The 22,070-nt window shown below is 37.4% G+C and overlaps 1 protein-coding gene and 1 long non-coding RNA gene across 27 annotated transcripts in view; one reads left to right on the top strand and one right to left on the bottom strand.

Annotated features, from left to right (window-relative positions):
- On the top strand, positions 640-20,126 carry CYLD-AS2 (CYLD antisense RNA 2). The gene is made up of 3 exons (NR_187251.1): positions 640-948; positions 1,709-1,862; positions 19,796-20,126. It is a non-coding gene; the product is annotated as a CYLD antisense RNA 2 (long non-coding RNA).
- CYLD (CYLD lysine 63 deubiquitinase) overlaps positions 2,050-22,070 on the bottom strand; it is a 59,850-nt gene continuing 39,829 nt past the window's right edge. For 23 of the 26 annotated variants that reach the window (NR_166071.1, XM_047433656.1, NM_015247.3 and 20 more), the window contains 9 exons: positions 21,519-21,660; positions 19,534-19,656; positions 17,039-17,130; positions 16,133-16,199; positions 12,295-12,427; positions 11,280-11,388; positions 10,321-10,439; positions 9,557-9,773; positions 2,050-7,661 (listed from right to left, as the gene is read on the bottom strand). Coding sequence is in view for 24 of the 26 variants with exons in the window: in XM_047433656.1 (XP_047289612.1) it covers positions 7,477-7,661; positions 9,557-9,773; positions 10,321-10,439; positions 11,280-11,388; positions 12,295-12,427; positions 16,133-16,199; positions 17,039-17,130; positions 19,534-19,656; positions 21,519-21,660 (1,187 nt within the window). In the remaining 2 variants the exon portion in view is untranslated. Of the gene's footprint in view, positions 7,662-9,556; positions 9,774-10,320; positions 10,440-11,279; positions 11,389-12,294; positions 12,428-16,132; positions 16,200-17,038; positions 17,147-19,533; positions 19,657-21,518; positions 21,661-22,070 lie in introns of those variants that run through there. The other 3 variants (XR_007064858.1, XM_047433663.1, XM_047433664.1) reach the window with 3 other exon arrangements.

The raw sequence follows: 22,070 nt of genomic DNA, 5'->3' as shown, positions 1-22,070 counted from the left end.
CACTCCAAGCAGTCTACTGAAGCTGGCAGCCCACAGAGACCTGACTGCCCACAGTTCAGTGCAAAGACAGGCTTGAAAGCTTGCCCCAAAACAGTCCCTCCCCAAGATTTCTCCTGCCTTCTTTCTTCCCTAATCAACTTGGTGAGCTCTCTCCTTTCTTTTTATACATCTGAGGCTTATCTCTGAAATATTTCCTAAACAAAGAGATTAGCGTCATCATCATGCCCATTTAAGGACATCTTTTAAGTCCTCTTCACAAATAGTGTAATTTTCATCCTACTTCTAAATTCTCTCTCCTGCCTCTGGAACACATTCCCCATATATTCCCTGAGTTCTTCCTCAAGGGACTGGGCTGGTAGCTTTACAATAAATTTTCTACTTTCCCTTAGGAGCTCGTTCATGTCCACATTCTCTTTCTGCAGGGCAGAATGTTCCACCAGGGAATGCCAAGTTGATTCTGTCTCCCTCAGAAAACTCCATTCCTCCTGACAACTGGTTCCCAATCCTGGTTGCACAGTCACAAGGAGTGGGGACTATGAAAAAGTGTGCCAACCCTTGAATCTGACAAGGAAGATCAGTGATGTCATAACAGCATTGTTTGGATATCAGCATGCATATCCACCCATGGGGTTCTGAAACAGAAATGCATAAGGAGCTTTGACAAGGACCCACTGTCTGGCCCCATCTTCAGAGATTCCAATAGGTCTGGGGTGTGCACAGGCACTGGCGTCTTTAAAATCTCCCTGTGTGAATTCAACATGCAACCAGGATTGAATGGAGAACTGCTGCTCGAAGTTTGATAATGAGGTGATAATGAGGAAGAACATGCCTCAGCAAGTCAGAAAAAGGGGCTTAGGGGAGGGCCAGTGGCTCCTCCTTCGGCCAGGCCAGCTTTCTTCTGACAAGGACTTGTTTTCACAACTGTCCAGATCCGCAGATGGGCACAAGGTATGTACTGTCGCCGTCACGGTAACAGACCCAAACAGAGTCACAAGGAGTGGCGACTATGAAAAAGTGTGCCAACCCTTGAATCTGACAAGGAAGATCAGTGATGTCAGAACAGCATTGTTTGGATATAAGCACGCATATCCACCCATGGGGTTCTGAAACAGAAATGTTCTTCAATGTATTGTCAATACCAGTATTACCAACTCAGACCATTCTAGCTTTCCTATCATGGCACATTAAGTGACTTAAACTCCAAATAATTTCCAAGGAAGGTTGATCTGTTACCTAAAAGAAGACTAAAGTAGGAATTTCAATACACAGTACATCGTGCGACCATTCCTCTGGTTATCACAAAAAAGTAAAATATTTAACTGCCTCTGTGGAAGCTGTGGTAGAATGGGACACACTACTGGCCAGGTGTGGTGGCTCACGCCTATAATCCCAGCACTTTGGGAGGCCCAGGCAGGCAGATCACTTGAGGTCAGGAGTTTGAGACCAGCCTGGTCAACATGGTGAAACCCTGTCTCTACTAAAAACACAAAAAAATTAGCCAGGCATGGTGGTGCACGCCTGTAATTCCAGCTACTTGGGAGGCTGAGGCAGGAGAATCGCTGGAACCTGAAAGACAGAGATTGCAGCGAGCCGACATCACACCACTGCACTCCAACTGGGGCGACAGAGCGAGACTCCATCTCAAAAAAAAGAAAAAAGAATGGGACACACTACTCCTTAGGCAACAGTGTTGGGTTCATGTTTATAGATGATGGAATGAAGCAGCGGGGGACAACTTCTGGCTGGAGTGGCTTGGAGGCTGGAGCAGCTGAGCTTTAACAAGCATCAGAGGTCAGAATTACTTGGCTAGATCAAGAAGCCACACAGCATCATAATGCCGCTGGCACATCTCCCAGAACAGGGTAAGTGTGTGAGGTTTTCTAAAGCAATTGTAATGGTGGTAGAGGCTTGATCAAGACACAGAGGTGTGCCCAGGTATAGCATTTCCTCAAAGAAATCTTACCACAGCAAAAACTTAAAGTGTTGTAGAGACCCAATTCCAGCCTTCTCATAACCCAAAACCCTTCCCTCAAAGAAATCCAGGAAAAGGAACCATAAAAATGTAATTTTAATGATACAGAAATAGTATATGTACATTTCTTTCCACAGCAGCACTTCATTCATCTCTAAAAAATTTAACAAAATTAAGGCTAAATCAGAGCGAGCTGATAGGAAGGGGTATTCTATGTGGTGGTCTTCTTAAAGAATGTTCTCATAAATATAGGATGTTCTGCAGACAAGAAATAAAAATAAAACATGCTGAACAAGATACCAAAAATGGGAAATGCAGTAGAAAATGAGCCCCTTTCTACCAATCTACTAAGAATCCCAACTCCCCTGGGAAGTTTCAGATGGGATGTGAGTTCTTTTAATGAATGTTTATGATCTGATGCTAAGACTTTCTAAAATTAAAATTCCACAGTACTAGGCCATTTTATAAACTAAAACCAAGGGCAGTTGAGTCTCCAATATAATCCCTCTAGAATTTTTTAAGTTAAAGTGGACAATATTTGAAAGTACTAATTTTATCTGAAGCTGTGGTGCTTGAAAGGACAATCCCTCCATTTGTGGCCCTTCTCCCTAACCCATGTTATAAAAATAAATGAAGACTTTAAAACACAGTGAAATAAAAATGCCATCACTGCCAAGGCAAAGGGCCAGGAAATCAAATGTGGTTCTTGAGTAACCTGGCTACAGAGACTGCTGGATGCTACAATCAGGGAGGAGGAGGACCTTCCTTTCCCACTTTTTCATTATCCTTGGCCACACTTGCTGGTTAATGCATTACCACTGCATCCTGACTCAAGAGAAAACCTTCAGCTGCTCCAGGATTCAGAATAAGATGAACAGTCTTTCTCCCCTCCTCCCACCTCTTCTCCCCAGAAAGGTCTGAAGGGGAACGGAGAAGGGCAATGCGAACACCCTGCAGGAAGCCTCAGTCTAAAACCCTAGTCTCTGTCAAGAGGGGCAATCCCCTGACACCCGCAGAATCCTGGTCTTCATAAGGCCCCACACACATCTGCTTTAAGGGGTTTACATTCCTTCTTCCTCTGCCTCCTCTTTTGCAGTGAGTTTTCATTTTAACATCGCTTTCTCCTCCCCGACTCCTCACCTGCTTTGGGGAATTCAAATGTTATCTTCATTAATGGAGAATTGCACCAAACCCTAGAGAAAGGAGTATTATTTTAAATTACAGGCCTTATAGCCTACCTACTTTAAAAAGACCTCTTACTTTATGACAAGGATTTGTTATCCCAGAGAAAAATCTTCCCATATAATTTTTAAATTTTCATTATAAAGTAGCAAATGGTAAGAAATAATGTAATTTTTTTCTTTAACTTTGCCTTAGAATTTTGTTTTCATTTTTTTGGCTCCTAGAATCTCAATTTCCTCTAAATAAATAAAAGGGGAAGAAAATATCCAGGTAAATAACATCAAATATCCTCTTAAGTCTTACTTGTATTTAAAGACTACTAACACCTCTAGGAAACAAACAGCAGGTTGAGGTACACAGACTAAAATGCATTTCTTACACAAATTAGTATGTAAACACAGAGAAACAGTATGATAAACATCCAAGTACCCACATTTACGTAGAATAATACAGTAACGTTACATGACCACAAAATCACAAAAAGTGAAGGAAGCTTTGAGATCTTCCAGTTAGCAGATTTCACACCTGGCTGGTCACGAGATTCCCCTGGGGATTCCCTCACAGATTTCCTAGGCCTCTTCCTGAACAGTCGGATTCAGCAGGCATGGCCTAGGACCCAGGAATTTGTATTTTTTTCCCATACAATTCAGTAGTCTAACCCTCTCATTATGCAGAGGAGGAAACTAAAGCTCAAGAGGTCAAGCTGTTGTCTAAGTGTACAGAGCAAGTGACAGAAACAGGGCTAGAATGCAGGTCTCTCGTCCCTACTCTGCCACTTTTTCTGTCACAGCACACCACCTCCCAAAGCTTCCCCTAGACCTGTCACCCTTACCCTTCAGCTAAGTAGCCTTTAATAGATATTCTGTCGTTAAAACTAGGTAGGGCAGGGACACATTTCATATTCCCTCTGATACAATCCTAGGCACCTAGTAAGTGTCCGATAAATACTTCTTGGTTGGCAGTTACTCAGCAAAAGTCTAATACTTTATCCTCCACTCACATCTCAGTCTACAATCATCCAAGCAGATGCAAAATTATCTGGCCAGATAATTTTCAAGATCCAGCTATAGAGGGTAGTGAATCCTGAATCTATGAAGATGCCATGTTCAAACAAGCAGGAATTTGGGTGACAACACAGTTCTATAAGATTAATGGAATCTTAATCTTCCATACTATCTCTCCCCCTTGTTCTCAAAATCTGTGAAAAAAAATAATAAAGGAATCCTAGGGATAGGAAGAATCTGGCCATTTATCTACAGCATTTGGCAAACAGAAATTTTTAAAAATCCTAAATTATTCTAAGGAGAAAATCCTTAGCAACAGTAACAACATATTTAGTTGATTTTTGTTGCTGTTTATCCTAGTTTTCAACGTGTTTTCCTAGTCTTATAAAACATTCTTCTGTGGATGGAGTCAAACTCCTTTATAAAGCTGACAGTGAGGGATGGGACACATTTAGCCTCTCTATGTATGATAACACTGCTCTCCTTCCCCACTCTCTCCCTCTCCGCCACATACATATATACACACACACAGACACACACATATTTATTTGGAGGTGAGGAACATGACATATTTTCTACTTGTAATCATGAATCATGAATCACGAACCGTGTTATAAATAAGATAATTCAATTACATTGTCATCTTGATTGTAGATAAGGAATAAAAGATAACCAAAACCTTTAAATAGCCAACAGGAAAATATTAAAGAAAACTTAAGGCTGAAAATTAAATAACCAGCAGGCACATAAGCCCCTGTGCCATGCAGCCCAGCCCCAACTATGTGCCTCTTGACAAACCAGGCTGTGCTGAAGCACAGAACAGTAGGGGGCTACCCAGAGGGAGCCAGGACAGACAGGTGCAGGGGAAACCTTCCTGCTGCCTCATGACATGCAGAAGCAGGGAAGGACGCAGCCTCCCCAGGAACCACCAGAGCTGGCCCTGGCATCCCTTAATGAGCACTCCCTCCCCAAGTAACATTAAAAAGACGTCAAGCTCCACCTGAAGAAGACGTTGCCAGAAATCATTTATGGATGAGGCCCTCCCATTTAACAGTCTCCACACCTGACTTTTGAAACCAGGTGTCCATCCAAACAGGTCTTCTTCAAGTTCTCTACCATGACAGCCTGGGTAGCAGAGCTTCCTCAATTTGTATTTTGTTTTAATTTCTACAGGAAAGGAACTGTCTTCTCTCTCCTTTTTTTTTTTTTTTTCCAACTGTTAAATCCAGTCTTACCTAGATCGTCAGCCCTTAGTATCTGCAGGGGTTTGGTTCCAGGATCCCTGCAGATACCAACATCTGAAGATGCTCAATTCCCTGATACAAAATGGTACAGAATTTGCATATAACTGACACACATCCTCCTGTATATTTTAATTAAATAATCTCTAGATTACTTATAATACCTAATAAATGTAAATGCTACATAAAGAGTTCTTGTATTGTTCAGAGAATAATGACAAGAAAAAAGTCTGTACATGTTCAATACGGATGTAACCATCCTTTTTTTAAAAAAAATCGTATTTTCCATTTGCAGTTGGTTGAATCCATGGATGAGAAACCTGCAGATACCGAGGGCTGGCTTCATTTAGATTCCTAATCATTCCTCCAGGTAGTCAATTTTTTAAAATCACATTGACAAGCTCATTCACCCATTTCTTCATTCAACACATATTTATTACAGGGTGATTGGACTTCTAGGCTGTCAGAGCTAGAAAAGGCCTTATGCATCTTTTACCCCACACCCTTCATTTTACCCAAGGGAGATGGAGGCAGGGCTAGCCCTAAACCCAGAGTCTCTCAGCCTCACCCCTGATCTAATCATCATCTCACCACCCCAACCAAGCACTTAGCAGTATAAAACCTTGTGCAAAATATATGTACTTTTTCACTTCAAAAATGAAAATATTACAAGATGAGTTTTTGTACCTTACTGTAATTTATAAAGCTAGTAAATATTAGCAAAATGGAATGATAAAACCAAAGAGTAAAAGTGCCTTTAAAAAAGTAATTGCAGGGTTTGTAAAGATTCTTTCCACTTTTTGTCACATTAAATATTTTATAAAGTCATATGACATATACATATGATGACTTTTCTGCCTTTCTGCACAGTTAGAAAGTCATTCAGGAAAGACAATGATACCACAAAACAACACTCAGAGAATGCACATTCCACAGCACTGACATGTATCATCTATGGTCCTGGTCTACAACATCCGCTGTGGTCTAAACACACACTATGGCTGTTATTAAACAAAACATCCCATTTCTACTTACTTTAATCAGAAGGAGGATGAAGCTGCTGCTAACATTTCGATAACATATCTGATTCTATCAAGTGAAACTACACTGAATTTAATGGGAGTACTGGCTGACAGATCAAACTTAAGTTCTAGACAGTCTTGTCTAAAATAATAGAGGTTTAAATATCCATCTCTCCCAGGAAATTGTAATAATTCTATATGCCAAATTCATTTTCTTATGGACTGTATGTTTGTAAAGGACTATTATCACTCCAATTCTTTCATCAATTTACTTTGCCCCATTCCATAAAATATTAATAGTTAAAAGCCTTAAAAAACCTGTTAGCTGACAGTAACTACTATGAATGAAGAGCTTCAACTGCTAAATACCCTAATCCTCCAGGAAAATCACTTCAAAAATGGACATTTGGGGACAGAATCACTCATTTATCTCAAAACCAGAACAAATAGAAAACAACACCATTAAGGGAATTTAAGTATTTTTCTGACCACTATTGCAGAAACACAGAAAAACTGAGCAGATTGTAGACATGCAAGATCAGCAGTATATAGAAAGGATTAACAAATCAAACTCAGTACATCTCTAATAACTGGATTGAGAGTAGACTCTTAATAAAACCAAATTATTTCTTCCTCAAGGCAACCGTTAGCTACAAAAGAAAAATGATTTCATATCCTTGGTCCATAAAGAAGACACATTTATTTACATTCTCAATGGACTAAAAGAGGCTTTAAACTTCCACAATTAAAATTGTATGCTTCCAAAAATATCATATGATCAATGCACTTAACTTAAAGCTTCAGGTATTAATAACTTCATTTAGACTTCTTAAAAAACCAACACAAACATACTTTCTAGAGTGCAAAATGCTTCTTATTAAATACTTCAGGGACACAAAAGCAATTTGTTTTTAAACAGAGGCATCCTTTTCTGAAGGATCATCACCACAAAGACATCCATTGCCGGCAATGGACGTGAACAGAACTGCCAGCTCGAATAAGATGCAACGTTAGGACTCTGCCTTCAGTTTCTTTGCCTTTCCCGATGACCCCAGTTATTTGTACAAACTCATTGTTGGACTCTGGTACATGCACATATATGCATCACAAAGCAGTCTTCGTGCACAGCCTTGGATTCTCCTGGAGTCCAAGGAATGCAGGTCTTCCAGAGACATCTTCAAGTACTCTCCTACTTCTGGGCATGGGGTGACTTGAGGAATGTTGAAGCCATTCTGACCACCTATGGCACAGAGGAAGAACTCTTTATAGGGCAGTCAAGTTCTAAACCCTTTTGCCAGTGATTTTATAATCCTATCATTTCCAAAAAGCTAATTTCAGGCTCTAAAAGCCTTTATTTTACTTCTGATTTCTGGAAGTGAAAGCCTCCTTTAACCCTTGACATATTCTCATTTCTTGGTTTCTGAAAGGATTCTGGGGCCAACAGTGAATAAACCTGGTAAAAGGACACGAATTCTGAGGTAAGCCCCCAACCTACTTTCCAGACTTCTCTCTGAATCATATTATCAATACATATGTAGACGACACTCTGTTCCTCACATTTCATTTCCTCCCAGACACAAGCCACCCAGCACACTTCACCATAAGACTGTCCAATTTGGAATAGATCTAGTCAAATGAACGCTATTATAGCTCCCTACACTTTAAACACATCCTTACGCAACTCTAATACAGTTTGTTTGACACATCACCAGGCCCTGATGAAGGTGCTCTGGGGTGTGATTTCAGAGATTCCAGGAAAGGCTCCTCTGGGTTACCTCAGTGGCTTTTCCAAACCTATGCTGTTGTGTTACGCTGTTTAGTGCAAATGTTAACTGGGTTGGGGGCACATCTACAGATGGGGCTGGGATGTATCCCTCAAGCATCAGAGAACTGAGAAAAGGTGGAGAACTCTTGATCTAGGGCCTGGGCCTCTGTTCAAGAGGCTGCCACAGGGAATGTCTTAGGCTACTGGAGGGCCACACCAGAAGGCCGTGGGGGCTGGATCTGAGAGAGCAGCTAAAGGAAAAATAGGGTATAAGAATGGAGGAACATGAGAGTCACACCTCACAACCTTGCCCAGGCCTGGTCTTAACCTGCAAACTCCTTATAGGTAGAGGCAGGGCTGCTTTAACAAACATTTCTTACCTACAACCCACTATCCTGCCTGGCATTCATTAAGCATTAGTTAAATAATGATTAAGCATCCTAGAAAGTGGCCTGGCAACTGCAGCCTATTCCCCACTTCAGGGAGAAAGATACTACATGCAGAAGAGGCTTTACTTTTCTGAAAAGGATGTTTACTTCTGCTCTCAGCTTTTGGCAATTGGAAGATAACATGGTTTAGTACAAAAAAACATATGCACTGAGATCAGAAAGACTGAGTTAAACACAAACTACAATACCTCAAGCCCCTTAAACCTCAGCTTTAATAACAGAAAAACAGGAATAATCCCCATCTTGCCAGGATTTAGGTAGAATGACTTAATGGTGCTCAATAAACAGCTACCGTGGCTCCTACAAAAATGAGAGGGGCCTGAAAGAAGACAGCGAAGCTGGAAATAAGATCCCTCAGGGCTGAAATAAGAATTTTAGGATTCTTTTTTTTAAAAAAAGAGCATATGCATGTCAAAATATCACAATATGAGGCTGGGTGCACTGGCTCCTCTTGTAATCCCAGCACATCGAGAGGAAAAGGAGGGTTAATCACTTGAGGCCAGGAATTTGAGACCAGCTTGGGCAACATGGCAGAAGCCCATCTCTACTAAAAATACAAAAATTAGCCAGGCATGGTGGCATATGCGTGTAGTCCCAGCTACTCAGGAGGCTGAGGTGGGAGGATTGCTTGAACCTGAGAGGTGGAGGTTGCAATGAGCCAAGATCACGCTGCTGCACTCCAGCCTGGGTGACAGAGTGAGACTCCATCTCAAAAAAGGAAAAAAAAAAACACAGCATATTATTCCTTAGTTCAGCTAGCAAGGTTGTTAATGCAATCCAAGATATAAGACTGTTGTCACCAGAATAATCCTGAAAGGATTTTCTCAGAAAATATCACTCAGAACAGGCGATCCCACTACAAACTGTCCCACTACAAACCAGAACCCTGTGCCACATGCAGAAGAAAGGCGTTTTCAGTACCATCCCGATCGGCCATGCTGTCAAAGAAGAGCCAGGCAGAATCGTCCTTCCCATACTTCACAAAAGCAACATAGTGGCTTGTTTCTATGCAGAGAACAGCAAATAACTCCATATTCTGGCAAGGGATGCAGCCGTGTCTCCAGTCCCAGTCGGGTAAGTCTTTGGGAAGTGACACTGGGTTATATTTATGATTCAGCCTCTTCGGATGAAGGTGGACCTAAAATGGACCATGAAAAGAATGTCATTAGGCCGAGGCTGGTGGATCACGAGGTCAGGAGTTCAAGACCAGCCTGATCAAGATGGTGAAACCCTGTCTCTGTTAAAAATACAAAAATTAGCTGGGCGTGGTGGCAGGCGCCTGCAGTCCCAGCTACTCGGGAGGCTGAGGCAGGAGAATCATTTAAATCCCGGAGGCGGAGGTTGCAGTGGGCCGAGATCGTGCCACTGCACTCCAGCCTGGGCATTAGTCTCTCTCAGTCTCTCAGTCTCAAAAAAAAAAAAAAAAAAATGTCATTAATGAGAGAAACTCAATGTGTCAAGTGAATGGGCTTCCTTACTCTTACTAAATACATCCCTTATAGCAATCAAGTACTTCACCAACAGCTCTCAAGTAAACAGAAAAGGCAAAAGCAATACCATTTTATTGTGAATTTTTAACCGTTAATTATGATTTTAAAAAACTTTCCAAAACGAGCATTGTGTTTTCAACTATAAATAAGTTACTGTTCAACAAAAGTTTATCCATTAAGTGAAGGGAAGCTCACTTGAGTGTTGCAGGTTTTACAAAACTGCTTGATTTTTCCAGCTGAGATGTCCGGATCGTCGTAGCATTCTCTACACTCATACATTGCAAGCCCTCCACATATCCGGCACTGTCTGGGAGCTGAAATGTGAGAAGGGGAAGGGAAGTTAAGAGGACTTTAAAAAAAATGCATTCTTTCATGAAGAAGATGTAAAGAAAAGTTAGGCTTTAAAAAGGACAATGTTCATGGCTTCAAAAAAGTCTCTTTCTCTTCCATCTGCTTAAGCTCTCAGTTAGTATTTGAAATATCTTTAAAAACATTTTTTTGGACCAAATAGTTTTTCTAAATAGTGTCTCCTAGAGTATTTTTCCCTTCATTATAAAATACCCATTGATGAAAATTCAAAGATACAAGAAAGTATAATGGAGAAAACTAAAAGCATCTACAATTTTAGTTGGCAGAAGATAACCACTGTCAATATGATTATGAATTTTCTCTAATAATTTCATACTGAATATTTACATAGGTATATATGCATGTGTGTGTGTGTGTGTGTGTGTGTGTGTGTGTATATGGCTCCTTTTGTAGAATATATCAACGTACTTACCTTTCCACTTAATATTACATCATGACCATTTCATACACATTGGTCTTCAAAACCATGAATTTTAATGGCAGTAGTTTAATTGTTAGATACACACTCATTTAACCATTCTCCTCTGGTTAACATTCAAGTTGTTTCTAATTTCTTAATCATATAATAATAAGTATATTTGCATATCAAATATTTATTTTCATTTGTGTTTTCTCAGAATAAATTCCTAGAAATAAAATGACTGGTTTCATATTTCCAGGCTCTTCAGATACTGAATTGCCTTGGGAAATACTGTGTCCAGTTAGAGTCTAACCCACAACTGATGAGAATTATCTGACAATTTCCACAAAACCAACAAAACAAACTAAAAAAATCTCATACTTACTGTCTTCAAGTAAATCTGTTATATTTAATTCCAGAGAAGGAAAAATTTTTTTAAATAGTTTAAAGTCTTTTCCAAATCGAGGCATCTGAATAATCAGACATGATGGTGCCTATAAAAAAGACAGATATTTTTAGAATCAAAGTGTTAAAAAAAACACTTTTCCCTATGAAACCAAAATAGTCATGGCTGTCAAACAAAACAGTTCTGCCTTAATATTGGTGTCCTATGAAACAGGATCCACACGTGACCATGGGCTGTGGACAGAGGACACCAATAAGCCACAAGTCTTCAAGTGGCTCATGATCGCAGGGGCACACCAGCACCTAGAGGTCACAGAGTTCAATAATCTTGAGTCTCAAATAAAATCATGGCATTTTATTTGGGTTTATATTTATTAAAGGTTTTGGACAGATTGTTTTTGCAAATATAATACAGAAAATGTCATCACAGAAGGATACTACTCATTATATTTCAACAAATAAATAACTGTGGCTGTTAAGGTTTTACCAAAAATGACTTCAGAAATGAATACAATCAAAATAAACCACAAGCATATACTATTAAAATTACTGAGATTCTTGGACAATAAAAGAAAAATAATTTCTATCACTGGTTCATTAGCAAATATAAATGAATTTATTGACATTTTGTCTCTTAATGAAGGGGGGAAGTAAACATTATATTTTGATGTATTTGGATAATATGCTTGCATAAAATGGCATTTTAAAAAACGTAAGTCTCCTTTTGCTTTAAACTACCTAAAAGTTTTCAAGTTACGCAGATTAGCTTGGTGTTTTCTTTGGCAGCAGAAATCCAAAAAATTCAATCTTAATTCTAAGACATTTTCTGTAAAGGCAAAGTTGAAACACTGCATACTTTTTAAAATTTGTGTTTCTTAACAGTTTGTGTTTCAAACTTTTCTCAGCTAGTTAAAATCAATAGATACTGAAACTACCAATAGTCTTAAGACTCCCACAGACTTTCACATAAAATACCACAGGTGAGTATCACTAACCTCTGCAAATTTCAGGTTACTGTTGATAAAAGACCATTCTAACAACTGCTGAATTGTGGGAACGCCAACTTTCTCATTTTTTTCCATAAAAATTTGATAGAAGTAACAATCTTGTACCTTTTGACCTGCTGATCTAAAAACACGCAGAGAAAAAAATACATACAACCTATTTATCAAATGCTTAAATCAAAATGTTAAGTTGTCCCAGCAGTATTTGAGAACAGAAAAACCATAAAATTGATGGTGTAGCTTTGGATAGTCAGAACAACAGAGAGAAATAAATGATTTGGATAAAATAATTAAATGTGCTCAGGCACAAGACCTTATAAATGATTTATTTTGCTTAGTTTTTAGACTGGAAAGTTCTCCTAGTGATTAGGAAAAAAATAATGGAATAATAATCTCAATCAAGAAGCACTGTGTGAACAGAACTAACCAAAAGGTAAATCACTTAGTGCAACTTCACTGCCCAAATCTAGAAAGCAGCAAACTGTATTTAATGCCTGAAAATAAATTATTATATGCTGGATGTGACAGACCCTTAGCAGACCTTCTAGATCGAACTTTTCATTTCTAAAATGAAGGCGCTGAGATCTAGGGAAGGAGAATGACTTCTCAGCAAGTCAAAAGCAGAGCTGGGTAAAGAATCTAGGGGCCCTAACCACTGCTTACCATTCTTTCTGCTAAAGCATGCTGTCTGATAGTCACTCATTTATTCAACAAATACCAAGTAAGCACCTACCATATGCCAATCACAGTGTTACTCTTATATTTTGAGCATCTTTCCTCCTAAATATTTTACTATAGCATGCCATTAGTCTTTAACTCTACCAGAAGGACTAATAATCCTTAAGTTTACTATTTACCTTTTCAGCAGAATTTCTGGATATAAAGTTAGACTATTTACATCTAAACTTATATCTAGATTTTAAGATTTTTAGGAGAAAATATTAACATAGTTTTCACTTAAAAAAAAAAAACTCAGCTATTCAGAGATCAGCCTGCAAAAATTCTCAGCTTCCCAAAGCAACTTATATCCCCAAATAAACAAAATTTAATTGATAACAAAACAGGAGATTCTGGAGACCCACAACAAATACAAACAGATGATAATCAAAAAACCTGAAGGCTATGATATACCAATGTTTTAATCAGTTGTTGATGACTATGACAAAAGACCAGAATTTTTCTGTGAAAGCCAAAAAGCATAGAAAATTAACAGTTTACAGGAAAAAAAAAATAAGAGAGGAAAATAAGAAACCAGGAAGTAGTAGAGGTAAGTAGTTGTAATCATAATAATGGCAGCAGGGGAGGAGGGCTGGTGGTTGAACGGACCACTGCATTGCAAACACTGAGGGAAAGAAGGCAGAAATGAGGATGGAGAAGACAATTTACTAATTTCTTGACTTTCCCTTGTTTCTTGCATCCCACTCCTTTATTCTAAACTCAGTTTTGTTTTACTGAAGTACATCCTATAGTAAGTCTCTGAATGGTAATTTAGTCCTGGTTCTTCCTGCTCAGAAATTCTGAATATTTTTATTCTTAGAATTTCAGTCTATCAAAAATTCTAAAATTTATTCAGCTATTATCTGTTGAAACATTGCCTTTTCCCTATTCTCTCTAGTATCTCCTTCTGGAACTCCAGTTAGAATCCATATTCCATGTCTATTATCCTCTCTTTCTTGTTTTCTAACTCTTTATCCCTTTGTGCAACATTCTGGGTACTTTCCTCAGCTCTGTCTTCCAAATGAGCAATTCTCTCTTCAGCTGTGCACACTGCATCAATGAGGTAACATCATGATATGGTTTCTATTTCTGGAGATTCTGTCTTTGGTTATTTGATTCTGTTTATCAAATCTGTTTTACCTTTCATTGTCATCTAGTTCTTTTGTCTCTTCAATCATTTAAGAACATCTTATAGTCTCTTTTAGACTATTTAATTATTTTAGATTTTTTTTAAGGTACTTATCCTCCTATTTGTTGCATCTGCTGACTCTGTCTGTCAAAATGAAATGCTAGTGGAGGGGAAGAATTACTCTTGAAAAAGAGCCAACTTAGAATATTTATAATCTTTAAAAAGTGATTCTCAATATGAAGAGGTTGTTTGCAGGGGTGAAGGGGACAGTGTACCCTTCAGGGGGTGTAAGAACTTCCCAGGGCCCTTTCAAGTCCCACAAGGCATTCAGACTCTGAGATATATTCAGAGATGCCCTGATCCCTCCCTACCCACTCTGAGGATCACTCAGTATTCAACCTATGTTATTACTGGGCGTGTATTACATTCCATAAGTGTGTAGGCTAGAAAAAGGGTAAAAACGATGAAAACAACTGTTTTAAGCATCTGAAATTTATCTCTTTAAAATGAAAAACCAAATTGACTTTTTTCTCCCAAAGTGCCTTCTAGGTTTCCTACATCATGTATTAAACATATCTTTCCTTTCCCATTTCTGTTTGAAAGTTGACTTATAAGATACTGAAATTCTACATACAGTTAATTCTATTTCTGAGCTTTCTATTTGGCCCCATTGATCCATATTTCTAATCATATGCTAGTATCACACACTATTTTAAAGTCTATTGCTTTGCCTTCGTAGCTTATAATAGAAATCTATTTTAAAAGCATTCTTCAAGATTTTTTCCCACTTCATTTTGTAGAGAACTCTAAATCCACTTTCCTGAAGTATGTTAAGATCTTGCTTGTGTGCAAATTATTATGTAATCATCTTTAAATTATTTAATTGTCCTACCCAGAACGTAATCTTTCTCACTAATTAATCAAAACCCTTTTAGCTCTGTATAAGTCTTTTAAAAAAAATCTATCTCAATAAAATTGATTTCTTGGTATTTTATACTTTCATGAAGTATTAAATTACTTTTTCATATTTGCTTGAAGGTATACAGAAATGCTATTGATTTTTCCATGGATATTTTACATAGACAAATTATGAATTATTTTGCTAATTGTAGTAATTTTTAGGCCATTCTCTAGGATTTTTAGGTGTACATATGGCTATTATCATCTTTGAACAGATAATATGAACTCTTGATGGTTATGTATCAGTCTCATTTCATTCATAAGAACTTCCCAAACAATATCAAACCACAGCCATGGCACCACCCAGCCTCCCTCTATTCTCCTCACCCATCAGTTCAACAGTGGCATCAAACAATATCACTTTAAGACACAGAGATGAGGAAGAGTGCTCGTCTATGCTTAGCTTTTAGGGAAGTGTATAGGATATTACTAAGATTCTCAACAGAGAAACCCAAGCTAAAATGTAAAAAGGTCCATTGTTTAGACTGAGAACATTCAAACTACCTGGAACGTTCAGTCATTTAGAACATTTCATTAAGAACTTTACTACATTAAACAAGGCTTTCATTCAACATGGTGGGTGGGGAGGGGAGACAAAGTTATACAACTAAAAACAGGAAAGCTAATTTAAGACTAAATTTTTTGAGTGATGAGTAGACAGAAAACAGTCTTCTTGAAGTGTCTGATTAAGTTAGAATGAGATATTTTTTCTTAAAAGGTTCATTAATTGAAATTATGAAAATATATATACAGTTTCAAAAGAAAATGATTTGCAATAATACTTATCGCTAGGGTTAAAAATTGTAGTATAAATTTACATTGGATTTGATCTTCAAGTAAACTATGGTACTGTGGCAAGGACAACAAATAAAATTAACTTGCATGATATTCCCCTAGCCTATTAAGAGCCCTAAACAAATACAATATTAAGAAATCATTCTGGAAATCATGTCTGTTGAATAATGGCAGTAGAAATGAGAATTGTCTATTTTTCCAATGCTTCTAGAACAATTTAAAGGTTACCTTATTTTTAGCAAAGGTTCTACCCTTAAAATATGATGAAACAGAATATTCAAGAATTCCTCAGGATCTAGGAGAAAATTTAAAAATCAAATAAGTCACAGGCAAAATTTTTAAATCATTTTATTTTTCATTTCTAACAGTCAAATTTTAATACTGAATTCAGTTTCATTCATCCAATATTATTTCAATTAAAAGCACAGTTTTCAAGTTTTCCTGACAAAGGAAAAACATAAAAGACATTTAATAAGTTATAATCAAGTATTATGTTTCAATTTTGTTGTGAGTTTATTACATTTGAAAGGGTGTAACACATTGCACATAATGAAATAGCTGTTATTTCCTTTGGAGGGGTTAAGGTAAATGGAGTACAATCTGAAGTATGCTCTGTTTTTTCCTGCAAGCCTCTGAACATTACAGCTGTTTACAGTATGCTGCTGACAAATTCAAAGTCAGGTGGTGAATCTTTGAGTAAGCCCATTAGCTAGGAAGAGATTATAACACTGTTCCCTGACTATAAACTTAATCCTAGTTAGCAGCTTTCTAACTCCCTTTTACAACAGGGAAGACTCAGTGGGAAAATGTAGAAAACCCAATGCAACTCTGCACCACAAGAGAGAAACAACTGAGAATATCATTGCTAGGTGGAAAGGAAAGGACTTTTTATTTAAGCATTTAATATACTAGAACCAGCCAGCTTCTTAAAGGAGTTCATTATTCCACATCATCAATCACTTTTAGAAGAGAGGAAGAATTTACAAAAAGAGGAGCTAACCATATATCACATAAAAAGAAATTTCTAATTTAAAAGAAAACCCCCCAACTACACAGACACACATTTCAGCTAATACTTTGACATGTGAATATGCTCTTCAGTTATTTTTAACGCATATAAGTTAAGATGGTCACCTTTTTCTTCAGAGGTAAATCCTGATGCAGCCTCCACCTTTTCAAGTATTTTCCTCAGTTTCATAATTTTTGTGGCACACACATATCCATATCTAAGTTAGTAAAAAACTATTAATTGATATTGGCATGTATTAAATTATATAACACATCTTAATCACATATTTCTTTTTTTCTTTTTTTTTTTTGAGATAGAGTCTCACTCTATCACTCAGGCTGGAGTGTGCAGTGGCCCGATCTCAGCTCACTGCAACCTCCGCCTTCCAGGCTCAAGAGATTCTCATGCCTCAGCCACCAAAGTAGCTGGAATTACAGGCGTGCACCACCACATCCAGCTAATTTTTGTATTTTTAGTAGAAACAGGGTTTCACCATGTTGGCCAGGCTGCTCTTGAACTCCTGGCCTCAAGTGATCCGCCCACCTCGGCCTCCCAAAGTGCTGGGATTACAGGTGTGCGCCACCACACCTGGCCAACACATTTCTTATACAACTCCAGTATGTCATAAATCAATAGGTTAGACAATTATTTTTGAAGAAAACAATGATAAGCTTCTTCTTGAAGTTTGCAAAATTAAAGATCTAGAACCAGAATTATCCTAGACACTATTATATGCTCTACAAGTAACTGTCATACACTAAGATAAAAAATTTTTAGGTTTGCTGTGACTGATTTTTTAAATAATATTTGCTTGGGAAATTAAAGCATTTACTTTATAAAGCAGAATATACAATTTTGAGAGAGAATATCCTTTTAATACTGAAGTGTGAAACAGCCACCAAGGGAAATGGGAAAGGGAATTTATAAGAAACTGAAAATCTAAAATCTGCAATCAAACCAATTGGCATAATGATGACATTTTCTCTCTTCTTTGTCTGAATGCAAGACACATTCAATCAGTTTAATATCACTTTAAATTTGTAATTCTAAAAATGGCTTCAGAGGAGAACTTGGCGGCTACCATAAGTTTACTAAGGACAAGTCAGAACTAGCTAATTTTATATCCACTTTTTATACTATTCATTCACTCATTAGTTTCCTGCAACCAATACAGACTGAGAATCTACCACTTACATAGTAACGTAACCTGTCAGCCACTGGGAATACAAAATGAGTAAGGTTAAAAAGACAGGGTCTCTGAAGAAAAGCAGAGATTTCAGCACCAAATAAAACCAGTCAGCTATATACAGATATGAATGCTACAGACACAGGGAATCCTGATCACAACAGGGCATCTGACCAGTTTCTTACCGTGGACAGGGTAAGAAAGTGTGATTAACTATGATTCTTAACTGGCTGAACAATAGGATCCAAAGAATGTTTATTCTTCCTCTCTTCTAGGAAGGAGGTGTTAACATGCCTTAGAGTTTCGGGTTTGACCTGTCTTGTTCCAGTATCAATTACTTGGGGGAAAAAAATCGTATGTTTAAAAATTTGCATAAGACAAAATAGTTGATGTGAAAATCAAGATTCACAATTATCTTAAAGAGTAAGATCATTAGAGAAATCATTACAGAATTTAAAGAAAGCAAAAGATATAAGTGAGGAAATTTATTCTCTTATAATTTACTTTCCTAGTCATGTGATATAGCAGATAATTTGGAATCCTCATTGTATTTGAGTATTCTGCTTTTTTGGTTCAAATTTGATATCAAACTATTTTTTACTTTAATTGATAAATAAGAACAGTATATAAAAGGATTCAAATTTATCTTAATATGGACTTTAAATAAATCACTTTCTCTCTATATTCCTGAATGAACAAATTTGTTTTATGATCTATGGTCCTAATTCTTCATAGTTTAAATTTTATAATGTGACATTATCACATATCACTACTACCACTTATTCAAAGTCTTTACTAGATATCTCCTGTCACTTGTGCTTGTACCATTACAAATTGCTTCCTGTGGCCATAAAAAGACATATTTATAATTCCTAAAGTAGGAAATGGAAAAAGAATCACCTTTTTAAGGCAGGTGGAAAGAGGCCAAATATATTCCTTTAACCAAAAAATATGGTACTAAAATACATCTCATCTGTTGCTAGTCCAAAGTATTAAACACTAGCTATTCTATAAAGAATTTCCCTTTCTCCTTTTCTTTCAGATTTAAGAAGCTAGACTACACCAATTTAACTAATAAGCATGATTACTTGTAGCAGAAGTGTTGGAATAAACTATTTCAAAAGATAAGAATCCTAAGTATTATGTATTAGCTTTCCTAAACATACTGCAATTGCTAAATTATAGTTTACTCTAGCAAAATAGGTTAAATCATTTCATGGAATATGCTATGTTCTACACCTTGGCCACATTTAAGAAATTAAATAAGCAAAAAAGTACAAGGACCAAAGGTTTAAAAACGTAATATTTTACCATAAGAACTAATTTTCACCCATCTCTTATTACATGAAGACAAGGTATAAATTAATTACTATACCAGAAAACAGCAAATAGAACACCATGTAAAGGCAAAATAGCAATTTGTTTTCTACTTACATTCTCAGAGGATTAACAATTTCTGTCCTCAGTAGCTCTTGGGTTTCACTATAATATTCTACATCGTTCTTTTCTTTGGGTCTAAGTAACACAGTGTCCAGAACAGAACTAAAAGCAAATAAGCTGCAAAAGAAAAAGGATAATTTTCTTCATGCTGTAAACATATTTTTCAAGAAACAGATTTTTAACAGAATTAGAAGAGGAAAATAAGTAAAGTCTGGAGAACAAATAACATAACAATTTGTGTTTTTCATTAACACAGGTACCAGGACCCCTGTGAAGATACCCATGGTTCAATCATCAGGACCTACAGATCCTTCCATGTTAAGGACAACACCAATAATACTGAGAAAGCAAACGGCAGATTGGCAGTGTTAAAGGATAACAACGTGCCAACAGAATATTAAGAAAGAAAACTTCTTTGCAAAAGTTGATAGAGAGACTACAAATATCAGTCAAATTACAAACAGACAACAGAGGACAGCATTTGGAAACGACTTCCCGAGGCAAGCACTATTCAGTGCCCCACTTCCCTCTCCCCATGCCCCTTTGCAAAGATCTATTACATTAATAAATTTCTTTAAATGCTAAAATCACTTATGAGTGACTAACAGGCCAGGTGCGGTGGCTCATGCCTGCAATCCCAGAACTTTGGGAGGCCGAGACGGGTGAATCACCTGAGGTCAGGAGTTTGAGACCAGCCTGACCAATATGGTGAAACCCCGTCTCTACTAAAAATACAAAAATTAGCCAGGCATGATGGAGTGCACCTGAAGTCCCAGCTACTTGGGAGGCTGAGATAGGAGAATCGCTTGAACCCGGGAGGTGGAGGTTCCAGTGAGCCGAGATCACGTCACTGCATTCCAGCCTGGGCGACACAGCGAGACTCCTTCTCAAAAAAATAAACGAGTGACAGCAGTAACTTGCTGTTATCAAAGAAAAAGAAAATTTAGCTAATATAGATTTTTATCAGGAAATCTAAAGAATATTATATCAATGCTACAAGGTTTGTTTTTGTCAAAGTATTCTGCAAATAAAATGGCCGCCACTTTATTCTTCTTCCTACTTTAAAAATGTTAACATCCCATATTAACTTCCTAATTCTTATCATATGGCTACAGAACTGGCAGGCTACTCTCAATTTAGCCCAGTCTACAATCCTCAGAGCCTAAAGATTCTTGGTTCAATTTCCAGAGCTTAAAGATCCTTGCAATGTTAAGGCTGGGCGTGGTGGCTCATGCCCGTAATCCCAAGCACTTTGGGAGGCCAAGGCGGGTAGATCATTTGAGGTGAGACGTTCGAGACCAGCCTGGCCAACGTGGTGAAACCCCCGTCTCTACTGAAAATACAAAAAAGAAAGTTAGCCAGAAGTGGTGGTTCACACCTGTAATCCCAGCTACTCAGGAGGCTGAGTCAAGAGAATCGCTTGAACCTGGGAGGCAGAGGTTGCAATGAGCCCAGATTGTGCCGCTGCATTCCAGCCTGGGGGACAGAGTGAGACTCTGTCTCAAAAAAAAAAAAAAAAAAAAAAAAAATCTTAAGTTGTTCCACTTTGGAAAAAATTGCATATATGAGGGCAGCAGTGCTGCTACTGAAAATCGTTTTTTTAAAGACAGTAGTTTTATGACTGCCTTTACCTACTAAAAGAAATACAGCACATAACAGCCAATGGCTTTACTGCAAGTTATGTTGTTTGAGACATGCACAAAGATTTCCCAGATACCCTCTGTATATCTATTCCATTGTACCAATATCATTCACCTTTCTGGACACAGAAACATGAGACAACATTCAAAAGCTTAAAAGGAGTATGTCATAAAAAGCAAATCTCCCTTTCAATCCTGACCCACAGTCATCCAGTTTCTCTACTCAGAGGCAGATGGCAGTTTCTTTCACACACACTCACACGCACACACACACACACACCGGTATGTGTCCCTGCCTCATGGCACTATCTATACCTATTGCATTCTTTTTAAACTTACCAGAATAAGGTTGAGTCTAAGTAACAAGAATTGTAATGACCCTGGATGCCTTTCTTCTTCCCAATCATTATCTCCAAGCCTTCTTTTTCCATTTTTGGTGGAGTATTTTCTTCTACTACTTCACTTAAGTAGCCTCCAAATGCTGAAAAGATTTTTTTAAAAAAAGTAAATGAAAAGAATTCTTTTAAACTATTACAATATGTATTCCCATAAATATTTTTTCATTTTAAAATGTTTTTGTATTTTGATGCAAAATTTTTTCTTTAAGTGGAAAGTAGGCTTTGGTTAACTGCTATTTGACTTGGCTTATAAAAATTGCTATTGTTCATTTTCAACTTCATTTCCTCCAAGATTTAAAAACACACTTTAGAGTATTATGTGTAAAAAGCATCTGTCAAGTAAAATATGTTTCCCAAATATTTCACTATTTATCTGAAGTTGCTTCACTTTCAAGTTTGAAAAGAAAATGAAAATTCCAAAGTACTATTTCAACATAATAAGAGTGTTTTTCATAAAGATGGCTTTCCTGTTTGCACCTGCTGAAGCCCCAAG

The sequence above is a fragment of the Homo sapiens genome, chromosome 16, assembly GCF_000001405.40.
Source record: "Homo sapiens chromosome 16, GRCh38.p14 Primary Assembly".
Taxonomy (NCBI): domain Eukaryota; kingdom Metazoa; phylum Chordata; class Mammalia; order Primates; family Hominidae; genus Homo; species Homo sapiens.
Note: the sequence above shows the minus strand (reverse complement) of the source record. Positions and strands in the feature narration are given on the sequence as shown.